Source organism: Homo sapiens, chromosome 7, assembly GCF_000001405.40.
Source record: "Homo sapiens chromosome 7, GRCh38.p14 Primary Assembly".
Classification (NCBI taxonomy): Eukaryota; Metazoa; Chordata; class Mammalia; order Primates; family Hominidae; genus Homo; species Homo sapiens.
Window position 1 is genome coordinate 44,914,938 of NC_000007.14, and position 13,782 is coordinate 44,928,719.

The 13,782-nt window shown below is 45.9% G+C and overlaps 1 pseudogene; it reads left to right on the plus strand.

The window, feature by feature from the left end:
- On the plus strand, positions 5,187-5,735 carry MRPS23P1 (mitochondrial ribosomal protein S23 pseudogene 1; annotated as a pseudogene).

A 13,782-nucleotide genomic window follows, 5' to 3' on the forward strand; every position in this document is an offset into this window, starting at 1 on the left:
GCCACTGTGCTTCCAGCCTGGGTGACAGTGAGACTCTGTTTCAAAAGTAAAATAAAATAAAATAAAATAAAATAAAACAAAATAAAATAAAAATAGTAGAGTGAATTAATACTCCACATTTTGAAAGCTTATCGGTTTAAGGCTGAGTGAAAACATTTCTGCTTAGAAATGCTGCTTCTGGTGATCTCTGTGCTATTGAAGTGGGTTCTGGCCCACATTTCAGCCCAGACACGCGAGCGCCCATTTGGGGCTGTCCCAGGAAGTGTGCTCGTATGTGTGCGTAAGCATGCATAAGTGTGCGTAGCTTGTGTTGCCATAGTGATTTGGTTTGGGAGAACTAACAGAGAGCTCAGGCTTTTATGGACAGTTATGTGGTTTAGACAAGTAGTCTTTCTTTTTCCTGGAATCATAGAAAAGCAGCCTTGTGTGATGGTGAAGTCTGCATCTTCTCCAGTCCCCCAATTCTGCCCCCACAGGCTCAGCGCTGCCTGTGGCTGTCACAACCACATACTGTTCCAAATGGGAATCTGTACCAGTAAATGGATTTGGGTAAATCTATAAGACTGGCTTGACTTTTTAGATATCAAACAATATAAACACCTCAATGATTAATATAATAGATCTTTTGAAAAATTATAAAAATTATTTGCTGGCCAGGCGCGGTGGCTCACACCTGTAATCCTAGCACTTTGGGAGGCTGAGGTGGGTGGTTCACAAGGTCAGGAGATAGAGACCATCCTGGCTAACACGGTGAAACCATGTCTCTACTAAAAACACAAAAAATTAGCCAGGTGTGGTTGCAGGCACCTGAGACTCCGTCTCAAAAAAAAAAAAAAATTTGCTAATTACCTATATTCATATTAGGAATTTTAGTGCTTCTTTTACTTTGGCAATAGTTAATACATATAGTCTTAGAGACTTCATTGGAAAAATGTAATTCACTCATGTAGTGGCTAAGCAATATCTGAATAAGAACAGTCCCTCCTGACGGGAGATCTCAGGGGCCCCCAGGGTCTCAGGACCTAAGTGTTGGGCGGTACGAAATTGGACAGAAAGAACCGGAGCCCCATCCCTACACATCTCTGAGCCTACGTTTCCTCAGTTGAGACGTGACGGTATGAACACCTACCTTGAAGGTTAGTTGTGATATGAAATAAGGGGTGTGTGTGAAAGTGCATTGTAAATGTCTGAAGTCATTTCTTTTTTTTTTTTTTTTGAGACGGAGTCTCGCTCAATCGCCCAGGCTGGAGTGCAGTGGCGCGATCCCGGCTCACCGCAAGCTCCACCTCCCGGGTTCACGCCATTCTCCTGCCTCAGCCTCCCGAGTAGCTGGGACTACAGGCGCCCGCCACCACGCCCGGCTAATTTTTTTGTATTTTTAGTAGAGACGGGGTTTCACCGTGTTAGCCAGGATGGTCTCGATCTCCTGACCTTGTGATCCGCCCGCCTCGGCCTCCCAAAGTGCTGGGATTACAGGCGTGAGCCACTGCGCCCGGCCTCTTTTTTTTTTTTTTTTTTGAGACCTCAGAGTCTCACTCTGTCACCCAGGCTGGAGTGCAGTGGCACGATCTCGGCTCACTGCAGCCTCGGCCTCCCGAGTTGAAGTGATTCTCCTGCCTCAACCTACCAAGTAGCTGGGACTACAGGCACCCACCACCACGTGCGTCTAATTTTTTGTATTTTTAGTAGAGACGAGGTTTCACCGTGTTAGCCAGGATGGTCTCAATCTCCTGACCTTGTGATCTGCCCGCCTCGGCCTCCCAAAGTGCTGGGATTACAGGTGTGAGCCACAGTGCCTGGCTTTTTTTTTTTTTTTTTTTTTTTTTTTTTTTTGAGACCTAGTCTTGCTCTGTCACCCAGGCTGGAGTGCAGTGGCGTGATCTTGGCTCACTGCAACCTCTGCCTCCCGGGTTCACACCATTCTGCTGCCTCAGCCTCCCGAGTAGCTGGGACTACAGGGGCACGCCACCATGCCCAGCTAATTTTTTGTATTTTTAGTAGAGACGGGGTTTCACCGTGTTAGCCAGGATGGTCTGGATCTCCTGACCTCGTGATCGGCCCGCCTCGGCCTCCCAAAGTGCTGGGATTACAGGCGTGAGCCACCATGCCTGACCTGAAGTCATTTCTAAGTATGGTGTTGGGTAAGTTCTACCCTTAGGTTCAAATACTCAGACTGGGTCACATGAAGAAAGAGAACAACATGAGAGTTATTTATTTGGCCTCCCACTGAGTAAGGCATTCTGTTAGGTCATTAGTGTTTATAAGCCAAGTGTGGCATTCTGGAAAGGTAAATAGGCATTTAGTAGGAGATAAGAAAAAAGTATCCCTGCTACCTTTTTTTTTTTTAGAGATAGGGTCTCACTGTGTTGCCCAGGCTGAAGTGCGGTGGCACCATCACAGCTTACTGCAGCCTCAAACTCCTAGGCTCAAGAGATCCTCCCACCTCAGCCTCCCAAGTAGCTGAGACTACAGGAATATGCCACCACACCCAGCTAATTTTAGTTATTTATTTATCATTATTATTATTATTATTTTTGAGATGGGCTCTTGCCCTGTCACCTAGGCTGGAGTGCAGCAGCACAATCATAGCTCACTGCAGCCTTGCACTCCTTGCCTCAAGCAATCGTCCTGCCTCAGCCTCCCAAGTAGCTGGAACTATAGGCACAGGCCACCATGCCCAGCTAATTAAAAAAAAAATTTTTTTTTCTGTAGAGACAGGGTCTGGCTATGTTGATCAGGCCTATCTCTAACTCCTGGCCTCAAGTGATCCTCCTGCCTCAGCCTCCCCAAGTGCCGGGATTATAGGCACAAGCCACTGTACCTGGCCAGAGACAAGTTCACAAACATTCTGAGGGTTCAGAGGGACAGGCTACTTCCAAATGTCTGGATTTTTTTTAAAGTTATGTAAACTATTTTATTTTTAAACTATATTGAAGTGTTTCAGAAGAAAAAAATGACCGTATTTAATTAGTCACTGATACGTAATTAGTTGTATTTTCCTTTGGGACAACATAGAATTTGTTTATTCTTCAATGGCTTCATATTTACAAAATACCAGTAAAAATAGTAAGGAAAGGGTTCAATCCACATAGACCATCACATACAGAATAACTAGCTGATTATTTATCTTCCAGAAATCTGGTAAGCACTGGTTTCTAAAACACAGGATATGCCAAATTCTGGTTACTAGCATCTTCATTCTTTATTGGATACATTTCTTTTGTTTAATCAATACATATTTGTACATATTTATGGGGTACATGTGATATTTTGTTACATGTATAGAATGGAATACTATTCAGCCATAAAAAAGAATGAAATCCTGTCCTTTGCAGCAACATGGATGGAAATGGAGATCATTATGTTAAGTGAAATATGCTAGGCATGGAAAGACATATATCACATGTCCTTTTTTTCATCCTCTCATTATTGAACATATCACATGTTCTTACTCATATGTGGGAGCTAGAAAAGTTGATCTCAGGCCAAGCACAGTGGCTCACACCTGTAATCCCAGCACTTGGGGGGCCCGAGGTGGACGGATCACTTGAGGTCAGGAGTTTGAGACCAACCTGGCCATATGGTGAAGCCCTGTTTTTACTAAAAATACAAAAATTAGCTGGGCGTGGTGGTGTGTGCCTGTAATCCCAGCTACTTGGGAGGCTGAGGCAGGAGAATCACTGGAACCTGGTAGGCGGAGGTTGCAGTGAGCCAAGATCGCACCACTGCACTGCAGCCTGGGCTACAGAGTGAGACTGTCTCCAAAAAAAGAAAAAAAAATTGACTGGGCGTGGTGGCTCACGCCTATAATTTCAGCACTTTGAGAGGCCGAGGTGGGCAGACCACTTGAGGTCAGGAGTTTGAGACCAACCTGGCCAACATGGTGAGACCCTGTTTCTACTAAAAATACAAAAATTAGCTGGGCGTGGTGGTACATGCCTGTAATCCCAGCTACTCAGGAGGCTGAGGAAGGAGAATCGCTTGAACCTGGGAGGCAGAAGTTGTGGTGAGCTGAGATTGCACCACTGCACTCCAGCCTGGGCAACAAGAGTGAAACTCCATCTCAAAAAAAAAAAGTGGATCCCATAGAAGTAGAGAGTAGAATGATAGATAGTAGAGACTGGGAAAGGGGTGTCAGTGGGAGGGGGGAAGAACACGTTGGTTAATGGGTACGAACATACAGTTAGAAGGAAAAAGATCTAGTCACAGTAAGGTGGCTATAGTTAACAACAATGTTTTGTTTATTTCAACGTAGGTAGAAGAGAGAACTTGAAATGTTTCCAACACATAGAAATGATAAATGCTTAGGGCAATGGATATCCTAAATACTCTGACTTGATCATTACATGTTCTATGCAGATGTCTGGGTTTTATTCTGATGGAGATGCCACTGGAGGTATTTCAGGCATTTGCACAGAAGTATCCCCCCACCATACCCCCTTTCAGAGCTGCACTTTAGAAAGATTGATCTAACAGGAATATGCAAAGTTAAGTAGAAAACAGAGAAACCAGAAGCAGTTAAGAAAGTGTCCTAAGAATTCACGGAGTGGAAAATCACCTAGATGTCTTTTATGGGAGGCGTATCCTGGGGAGCATCTGGAGAATCTAGGAGGAGCACCCTTGAGGACCACTCAGGAAGCACTCAAGAGGAACATCTACAGCTGGCTGGAAATCGCAGGGAGCATCTTTTTGCAGACTCAGTATGTGATTTGAGCAGGAGTGCTGTAGGAGAAATTGAAGGAGAAACCTCTCTAGCATCACATACATAACACCTTTCCCCTGTGGAAGGAGCCAGTCTTCCAGAGGCCCCACTTATGATATGGCAAAGCCAAAATTCTCATGGAGGACATCTGGTATCATGAGGATCCCATTGGAGCAAAATTCTTTTTTTTTTTTTTAGATGAAGTTTTGCTCTTTTTGCCCAGGCTGGAGTACAATGGCATGATCTCGGCTCACTGCAACCTTCGCCTCCTGATTTCAAGTGATTCTCCTGCCTCAGCCTCCCGAGTAGCTGGGATTACACCAGCTACTTACGCCACCACACCCAGCTAATTTTTGTATTTTAAGTAGAGACGGGGTTTTGTCATGTTGGCCAGGCTGGTCTCGAACTCCTGACCTCCGGTGATCCACCTGCCCTGGCCTCCCAAAGAGCTGGGATTACAGGCATAAGCCATCGCGCCCAGCCCATTGGAGCAAAATTCTATTCAGCCTACAAATCTGGTCAAAAGCTTTTGATCTGTTCAATCCAAGCTTCAAGCCTACCTGTCAATGCTTTGTGAAGTATATTGAGCTGCAGAAACTTAAAGAAACAGATGAAGAGAAGTTATTTGTAGAAACAAGGAAAGCTTTATTGGCAGAAAGTGTCATTTTAAGATGCGTAGGAGAAACAAGGACTCAACAGGAAGGTAGTCACGTTTCCTGGAAATCTGAACACATGATTGTCAGACCCCAAACTGTGTTGAAAGAAAACCAGCCTCAGAAAGAAAGAAGTTCCACAGGACCAGCATTTGGAAGCACCTGAAGGACAGTTAAAAGGTCTTGCAGCTCCGTGAAGGGTTTGTATATTGTGGATACTGACATACACACTCTACTCACTAGCTCAATGTTGAGCTGTTTCTAACAGTTGAACTACATAAACGTCTCTTGATCTTGAAGGCATTATATTTGCCTTCTCTTAGTCCTTACTTCTGAGTTGTCATAAAGCTCGGTATCATGGTTTGACAGAAGCAGTTATGATCCAGAGGATTTATATAAAAGAATAATAAAAACTGAAAAAAAAAGGAGTTATGTGAACTTTCATGGTAGGACATCATTAAATAAAGAACTCCAGCTGGGCGTGGTAGCTCATACCTGTAATCCCAGCACTTTGGGAGGCCCAGGCGGACAGATCACTTGAGGTCAGGAGTTTTGAGACCAGCCTGGCCAAGATGGTGAAACCCTGTCTCTACTAAAAATACAAAAAAATGGCCGGGTGTGGTGGCTCATGCCTGTAATCCCAGCACTTTGGGAGGCCGAGGTGGGTGGATCACCTGAGGTCAGGAGTTTGAAACCAGCCTGGCCAACATGGTGAAACCCCTTCTCTACTAAAAATACAAAAAAATGGCATGGTGCGGTGGCTCATGCCTATAATCCCAGCACTTTGGGAGGCCAAGGCGGGTGGATCACTTGAAGTCAGGAGTTTGAAACCAGCATGGCCAACATGGTGAAACCCCTTCTCTACTAAAAATACCAAAAATTAGCTGGGCATATTGGTGGGCGCCTGTAATCCCAGCTGCTCAGGAGACTGAGACAGGAGAATCGCTTGAACCTGGAAGTCGGAGGTTGCAGTGAGCTGAGATCGCACCATTGCACTCCAGACTGGGCAACAAGAGCGAAACTCTGTCTCAAAAAAAAAAAAAAAAAAAAGCAAAAGCAAAACAAAACAAAAAAATTAGCCAGGCGTAGTGGCACATGCCTGTAATCCCAGCGATTCTGGAGGTTGAGGCAGGAGAATCACTTGAACCTGGGAGGCAGCAGTTGCAGTGACCTGAGATCATGCCACTGCTTTCCAGCATGGACAGCAGAGCAAGACTCCATCTATAAGTAAATAAATAAATAAAATTCCCTAGGTGCTTAAAAACAAAGGAAGAGGAAAAAAAAGGAGGTGCATCTAACATCTAGGAAGAGCACCTGGGGGAGCACCTACTGGGAGCACCTGAAGGAGCAACTCAAGGGCCACTGGCAGGAACCTCCGGGAAGCGCAGAAGGCATGTGTGGGGAGAGATTGGTGGGGGTTGGGTGTTCTTACCTACTGAATGGGCGGGCTAGATCAAGAGGTGACAACCTGGAAGAGAAATGGGGCTAGAGACAGGCTGGCTGTAAACCAGTGGTTGTCGAGGAGATAGCATCAGTGAGGGAGGTGCCCCAGTGGGAGAGCCGCCCTGAAAAGGGAGGAGGGTGTCTCTCCACTGTTGAGCCAGAGCCACAAAGAGGGTTGACTCTGCCATAGAGCGGCCTTTCTTCCCAGCTATTATGTCGGCTCTGCAGGGACCCTCACACTTGATGAGTCAAGGGGCTTGTGCCTTACTGAGCAGCCAGAGGGATCCCTCTCTGAGACCCTCAGACCTGCTCCTTGCCTGACCAGTGCCAGCCCTCCTCCCCTTCCTCACCAGGGGATGGCTGAAGCATGGAAAAGTGGCCGGCAGCAGATGGTTGGGGGTGGTGGTGGGGGGCATGGGGACTCAACGCCCTGGGTTGCTGAGTCCTGTGAGACCTGTGGCCCCGGGACACCCCACCCCAGGCCTGGGCTCTCAGCAAGAATGCCATGTGGAGCCTGTCAACTAGCCCGTCAACTAGCACTCTCGCGCCCCCTGGTGGCCGTCCCTGATGAGGTGGGTATAGGACATGGTCCCAGTGAGAACTTGTGGCAATCCACAGTTCATGCCTACGTTCATTCATTCATTCATTCTTGAAATATTTGGGGAGTACCTGCAGGCCTCCGAAGCTCTATGCTGTCCACTCTGGCACCCACACGTGCTCTGAGCACTTGAAGTGCAGCGAGTCCACTGGAGAAGTACAGTAAGTGTAAAGAGTACACTGGCCGTCAAAGACATAGTGCACACAATGTAAAATGTAGTATCGATCATTTTCATATTGATGATACATTGAAATTATAATGTTTTAGATCAACCATTTTAAATAAAATATGATTACAATCAATTTCACCTGTTTCTTTTTTACCGAGACCAGCTGGGTCGGGGAGACCCTAACCTAGTGGTGCTAGAGGAATTAAAGACACACACACAGAAATATAGAGGTGTAAAGTGGGAAATCAGGGGTCTCACAGCCTTCAGAGCTGAGAGCCCCGAACAGAGATTTACCCACATATTTATTTTTTTTTTTTTTTTTTTTTTTTGAGACGGAGTCTCGCTCTGTCACCCAGGCCGGACTGCGGACTGCAGTGGCGCAATCTCGGCTCACTGCAAGCTCCGCCTCCCGGGTTCACGCCATTCTCCTGCCTCAGCCTCCCGAGTAGCTGGGACTACAGGCGCCCGCCACCGCGCCCGGCTAATTTTTTGTATTTTTAGTAGAGACGGGGTTTCACCTTGTTAGCCAGGATGGTCTCGATCTCCTGACCTCATGATCCACCCGCCTCGGCCTCCCAAAGTGCTGGGATTACAGGCGTGAGCCACCGCGCCCGGCCTACCCACATATTTATTAACAGCAAACCAGTCATTAGCATTGTTTCTATAGATATTAAATTAACTAAAAGTATCCCTTATGGGAAACGAAGGGATGGGCCAAATTAAAGGAATAGGTTGGGCTAGTTAACTGCAACAGCAGCATGTCCTTAAGGCACAGATCGCTCATGCTATTGTTTGTGGCTTAAGAATGCCTTTAAGCAGTTTTCCGCCCTGGGCGGGCCAGGTGTTCCTTGCCCTTATTCCCGTAAACCCACAACCTTCCAGCATGGGCATTAGGGCCATTATGAACATGTTACAGTGCTGCAGAGATTTTGTTTATGGCCAGTTTTGGGGCCAGTTTATGGCCAGATTTTGGGGGGCCTGCTTTCAACACTTTTTACTTTTATTATAATGTGGCTCCTAGAAAGCTTAACCTTCTTTATGTGGGTCGATTTCTATTTCTATTGGATAGTGCTATTCTAGACCATCAGTTCCCAGACTTTGGGATTTCAAGAACAAGTAAAAGTCCTCCATATTTTTACTACCAACTTGCTACTTTCTTAAATAATGGTGTCTATTTGTCTATTTCTTTCCTTCTTTTCTTTTCCTTTCTTTTTTTTTTTTTTTCTTTTTTTGAGATGGAGTTTTGGTCTTTTTGTCCAGGCTGGAGTGCAGTGGAGCAATCTTGGTTCGCTGCAACCTCTGCCTCCTGGGTTCAAGTGATTCTCCTGCCTCAGTCTCTTGAGTAGCTGGGTTTACAGGCATGTGCCACCACTCACAGCTAACGTTTTTGTATTTTTAGTAGAGATGGGGTTTCACCATGTTGGCCAGGCTGGTTTTGAACTCCTGACCTCAGGTGATCCACTTGCTTTGGCCTCCCAAAGTGTTGGGATTACAGGCATGAGCCACCATGCCTGGCCTATTTATTTCTTTACATTTTTCCTACTGCCTGTATAATTGCAGAAATTAATGATGTTTTAAAAAGTAATAGTCTCATCAGGAAAGGATGAAAGGGATGGTCATCTTAATACCAGAAATGCAGGAAGCCATGGTTAGAATGTAGAGTTAAACAAAAAAACTCATCTATTGCCCTTTGATTATTTTTCCACAAATCATTGAGTGTTTGAGGAGACCCAAGTGTGAGTTCTCTAAGGAGCCTCTTGGGAGGGCATCCACATCTGTGGCTTCTCCCTTCCTGGCCTGCGATCATCTACAGGATAGCCCAGTGTTGACACAGGCCGTGTGCTGCTGCCTGCCAGGTACCAAGCTGAGAACTGTGGACACGGGAAAGGGGTTGAGGGATGCCGTATTGTCTAGGACTGGAGCTGGCACCTTGCTGGTCCCTTTATACACTGGTTATCTTAATTTTCACACACAAATGTTGTTATTCATGTGGTCTGGTGGAGGGAACTTAAGTGTATGGTCTTATAAACTGTAAAAGGGGTGGGGCGCTGTGGCTCATGCCTGTAGTCCCAGCACTTTGGGAGGCCGAGATGGGCGGATTACTTGAGGTCAGGAGTTTGAAACCAGCCTGGGCAACATGGTGAAACCCTGTCTCTACTAAAAATACAAAAAAATTAGCCGCACATGGTGGTGCATGCCTGTAATCCCAGCTACTTGGGAGGCTGAGGCAGGAGAATCACTTGAACCTGGGAGGCGGAGGTTGCAGTGAGCCGAGATCGCGCCATTGCATTCCAGCCTAGGCAGCAAGAGCGAAACTCCGTCTCAAAACAACAACAACAACAAAACAACAACAACAACAACAACAACAAAAACTGTAAGAGGATACCCAGATGGCCAACATGCCTGAAAAGGTGCTCAATCTCATCAGTGATCAGGCAGAAGCAAATAAAAACACAAGGCGGGGTGCAGTGGCTCACACCTGTAATCCCAGCACTTTGGGAGGCTGAGGCAGGAAGATCGCTTGAGCCCAGGAGTTCAAGACCAGCCTGGACTAAATAGTGAGACCCCATCTCTAAAAAATATTTAAAAATTAGCTGGACATGGGGGCACACACCTGTAGTTCCAGATACTTGGGAGGCTAAGGTGTGAGGATTGTTTGAGCCCAGAAGATGGAGGCTGCAGTGAGCCGTGATTGCACCCCTTGCACTCCAGCCTGGGTGACAGAGTGAGACCCTGTTTCAAACACACACACACACACACACACACACACACACACACACACACACACACACACACACTAAGATACCAGTACAGACCCATAGACCCATCAAATGAAAAAGACTGACAATACCAGGAGTAACATCCCCGCTGCTGATGGGAATCTAAATTGGTGCAGCCACTTTGCAAGTAGTTTGGCAGGATCTTTTTTTTTTTTTTTTGAAATGGAGTTTTGCTCTTGTAGCTCATGCTGGAGTGTAACGGCGCAATCTCGGCTCACTGCAGCCTCCGCCTCCCGACATCAAGCAATTCTCCTGCCTCAGCCTCCCGAGTAGCTGGGATTACAGGCGCCCACCACCATGCCTGGCTAATTTTTTATATTTTTAGTAGAGACGGGGGTTTCGCCATGTTGGCCAGGCTGGTCTTGAACTCCTGGCCTCAGGTGATCTGCCCGCCTCGGCCTCCCAAAGTGCTGGGATTACAGATGTGAGCCACTGCACTGGCCAGCAGGATCTTTAGTAGATAAATATCCACACATGCTAGGACCTCACCACTCCACCCAAAAGAAACAAACGCTTATGTGATGTGCAGTAGCATTTACCAGAGCCCTAGACTGGAAATAGCCAAATGTCCATCAACAGGAGAAAAATGAAATAAAATAATGATGAAAACAAAAATGAAATAATGAAAAAAATGAAATAAAATAATCATGCAATGGAATACTATACTATGAAAATAGGCCAACTACTGCCATACATAGCAGCTATGATGTTTGTACCTAAATGATGTGTTTTCCAAATTTTATCATTAATATCACGATGAATACCTTTAAACATGTCTTTCCAGAATACTTCTAGAGAATGACTACAAAGTAAATTGCTAAAGAGTAGCTGATGAATCAGGCTATGGGAATTCTTGATTTTTATAGATGTTGTTCGTTACCTTCAGAAAAAGACTAAATCAATTTATACTCACACCAGCCATGCCTCAGAGAGTCTGCTTTCCCACACACCTGCCAATACAGAAGGTATATGTGTTTAAAATATACTTTGAAAACAAGTAATATTCCTTCACAGTTTCACCTGGATCCTCATTTACTTATGTCGCCTGTTCTCAATCATCTTTAGTGTATTAGTTAGGAAAATGCCACCTGCTATGACTGACTCTAGAAGGAATACTACCTCATCAGAACAGGAGTCCTTTTTTGCTCCTACAAAGAAAAGGTAAGGTTTCTGATGATTAGCACTGGCAAGATTTGCTCCAAGTGATCATTCAAGAACCTAGATGGAAATATATCACTGATTTCTGTTTCTCCATCTATAAAATGAGAGTAAGGATACCATGCCCTACCTTGTAGGGATAGAGTGATTGTCAGCTAAGGTCACACATTTGAATGTCTTAGTAACAGAGTGCAGACTCACCCATTCCCAGCTTCTAGGGTGGTAGGAAAGGGCCCATTCTCCATAAGTGGAAGATCTATTTCAGAGCGAGAAAGAAAAAGGTGCTGAAGCAGTGTCAGAGCACGGCAAACTATCCTTCCTCCTCTTGTTACCAAGCGGTCAATGGGCTTGCAGTCCCATGTGCATACAAGCCAATATCAAGGCCTTGGCTTTTGAGAAAAGGAGTTGGAGGCTAGGTAGGGTTTTATTAGCGTAAAGTAATGAAGTGTGATCTGACTGGATCTTGCAGTGAGGTGATGCCAGAAGGCATGGTCTGACTGGATCCTGCCATGGAGTGATACCACAACTCCATCTGATTGGATCCTGAATCCTGCCACGTGGTGTCTGCCCTTAATTCAGTCCCACTCCTTGGTCTGAGTGTTTAGGTTGCCCCTGTGGTCGTACACTTGACTCATCTAGGTGTGCTCAGTTTACATGACCTTCAACCTGGGGGTCCATGGCAGCTAAAAAACAACTCACAACTTTGTTGCATAAAAGTCGAACCAGATTGGCCTGATTCAGTTATATTCTCTCCATGGCAAGATAGCCCTTGCTAGACATAGAAATGTTAACTTTTTTAATGACCAGAGGTAAAGATGGGTTTGTACTCTGGTTCACCACTGAAATGATGAGTATTTTATTTTATTTTGAGACGGAGTCTCTGTTGCCCAGGCTGGAGTGCAGTGGCATGATGTCGGCTCACTGCAACTTCCACCTCCCGGGTTCAAGCGATTCTCCTGTGTCAGCCTCCCAAGTAGCTGGGACTACAGGCGCATGCCACCATGCCCAGCTGATATTATATTTGTATTTTTGGTAGAGACAGGGTTTCACCATATTGGTCAGGCTGGTCACAAATTCCTGACCTCAGATGATCCACCTGCCTCAGCCTCCCCCAGTGCTGGGATTACAAGCGTGAGCCACCGCGCCTGGCCTGAAATGATGAATATTTTAGAAGAGCTTTCGCTGGGTATTTTTGGAAGGATGAAGCTGTTTACAAAAAAAGAATTCTATATTCTTTGTATTTGTTAAACCTAATATTAAAAAAGAAAAAGAAAAATGGGCTGGGGAGATTGAGACAGGCTGGACTGGTGTTTGGGTCACGGGCTGGGAAAACGCAGAAAAACCAGCTTTCCCATGAAGGGCATCAAACCAGATAGACCACGGAGGGCCAAGTGCTCCTCCTTTCTCATAATATTTGAAGCTTCTCTACAGTGTAAGAGTTTCCCAGAGAGCAGAGAGAGGCTTGACACAGAGGGTAGCTTTTTGAAGATACCATGAGGAAAAGACACTGAGAAACTAAAGGAACAACAATAATAAAATAGTCACTGTATGCGGCCGGGCGCGGTGGCTCACGCCTGTAATCCCGGCACTTTGGGAGGCCGAGGCGGGCGGATCACGAGGTCAGGAGATCGAGACCATCCTGGCTAACACAGTGAAACCCCGTCTCTACTAAAAATACAAAAAATTAGCCGGGCGAGGTGGCGGGCGCCTGTAGTCCCAGCTACTTGGGAAGCTGAGGCAGGAGAATGGTGTGAACCCTGGGTGGTGGAGCCTGCAGTGAGCCGAGATCATGCCACTACACTCCAGCCTGGGCGACAGCGAGACTCCGTCTCAAAAAAAAAAAAAAAAATTGTCACTGTATGCATAATAGTAAAAGACACATGGCTGATCCTTGTCTATGGATGTCACACCAACCTTAGAGTTGCCCCTAAGAGTAAGTGAGCAAGTGCTAGCCCCACTGTGCAAAAGACAGCAGAGACTTGGACAGGGGGATCCCCAGCAGAAGGAGCAGACTCTGGCTGGGGCTGTGGAACCCCAACATTGCCCCTACTCTCTGCAGCACACAGTCTACTCTCCTTAGAGACAGAGACATGAGCTAGGCAAGACTGCCTTTCCATACAGAGACCCCCAGGCTCAATCAAGTAGTTCTTAGCAAGAATATCATGTGAGCACAAAATAATTTTTTCTTCTTGCAACATACAATGTGTTCCAGAGTAGAAACTTCAGAAGATAGAGGTGAGGAAAAAGAAATAAACACAAATGACATCACCCAAAACGAC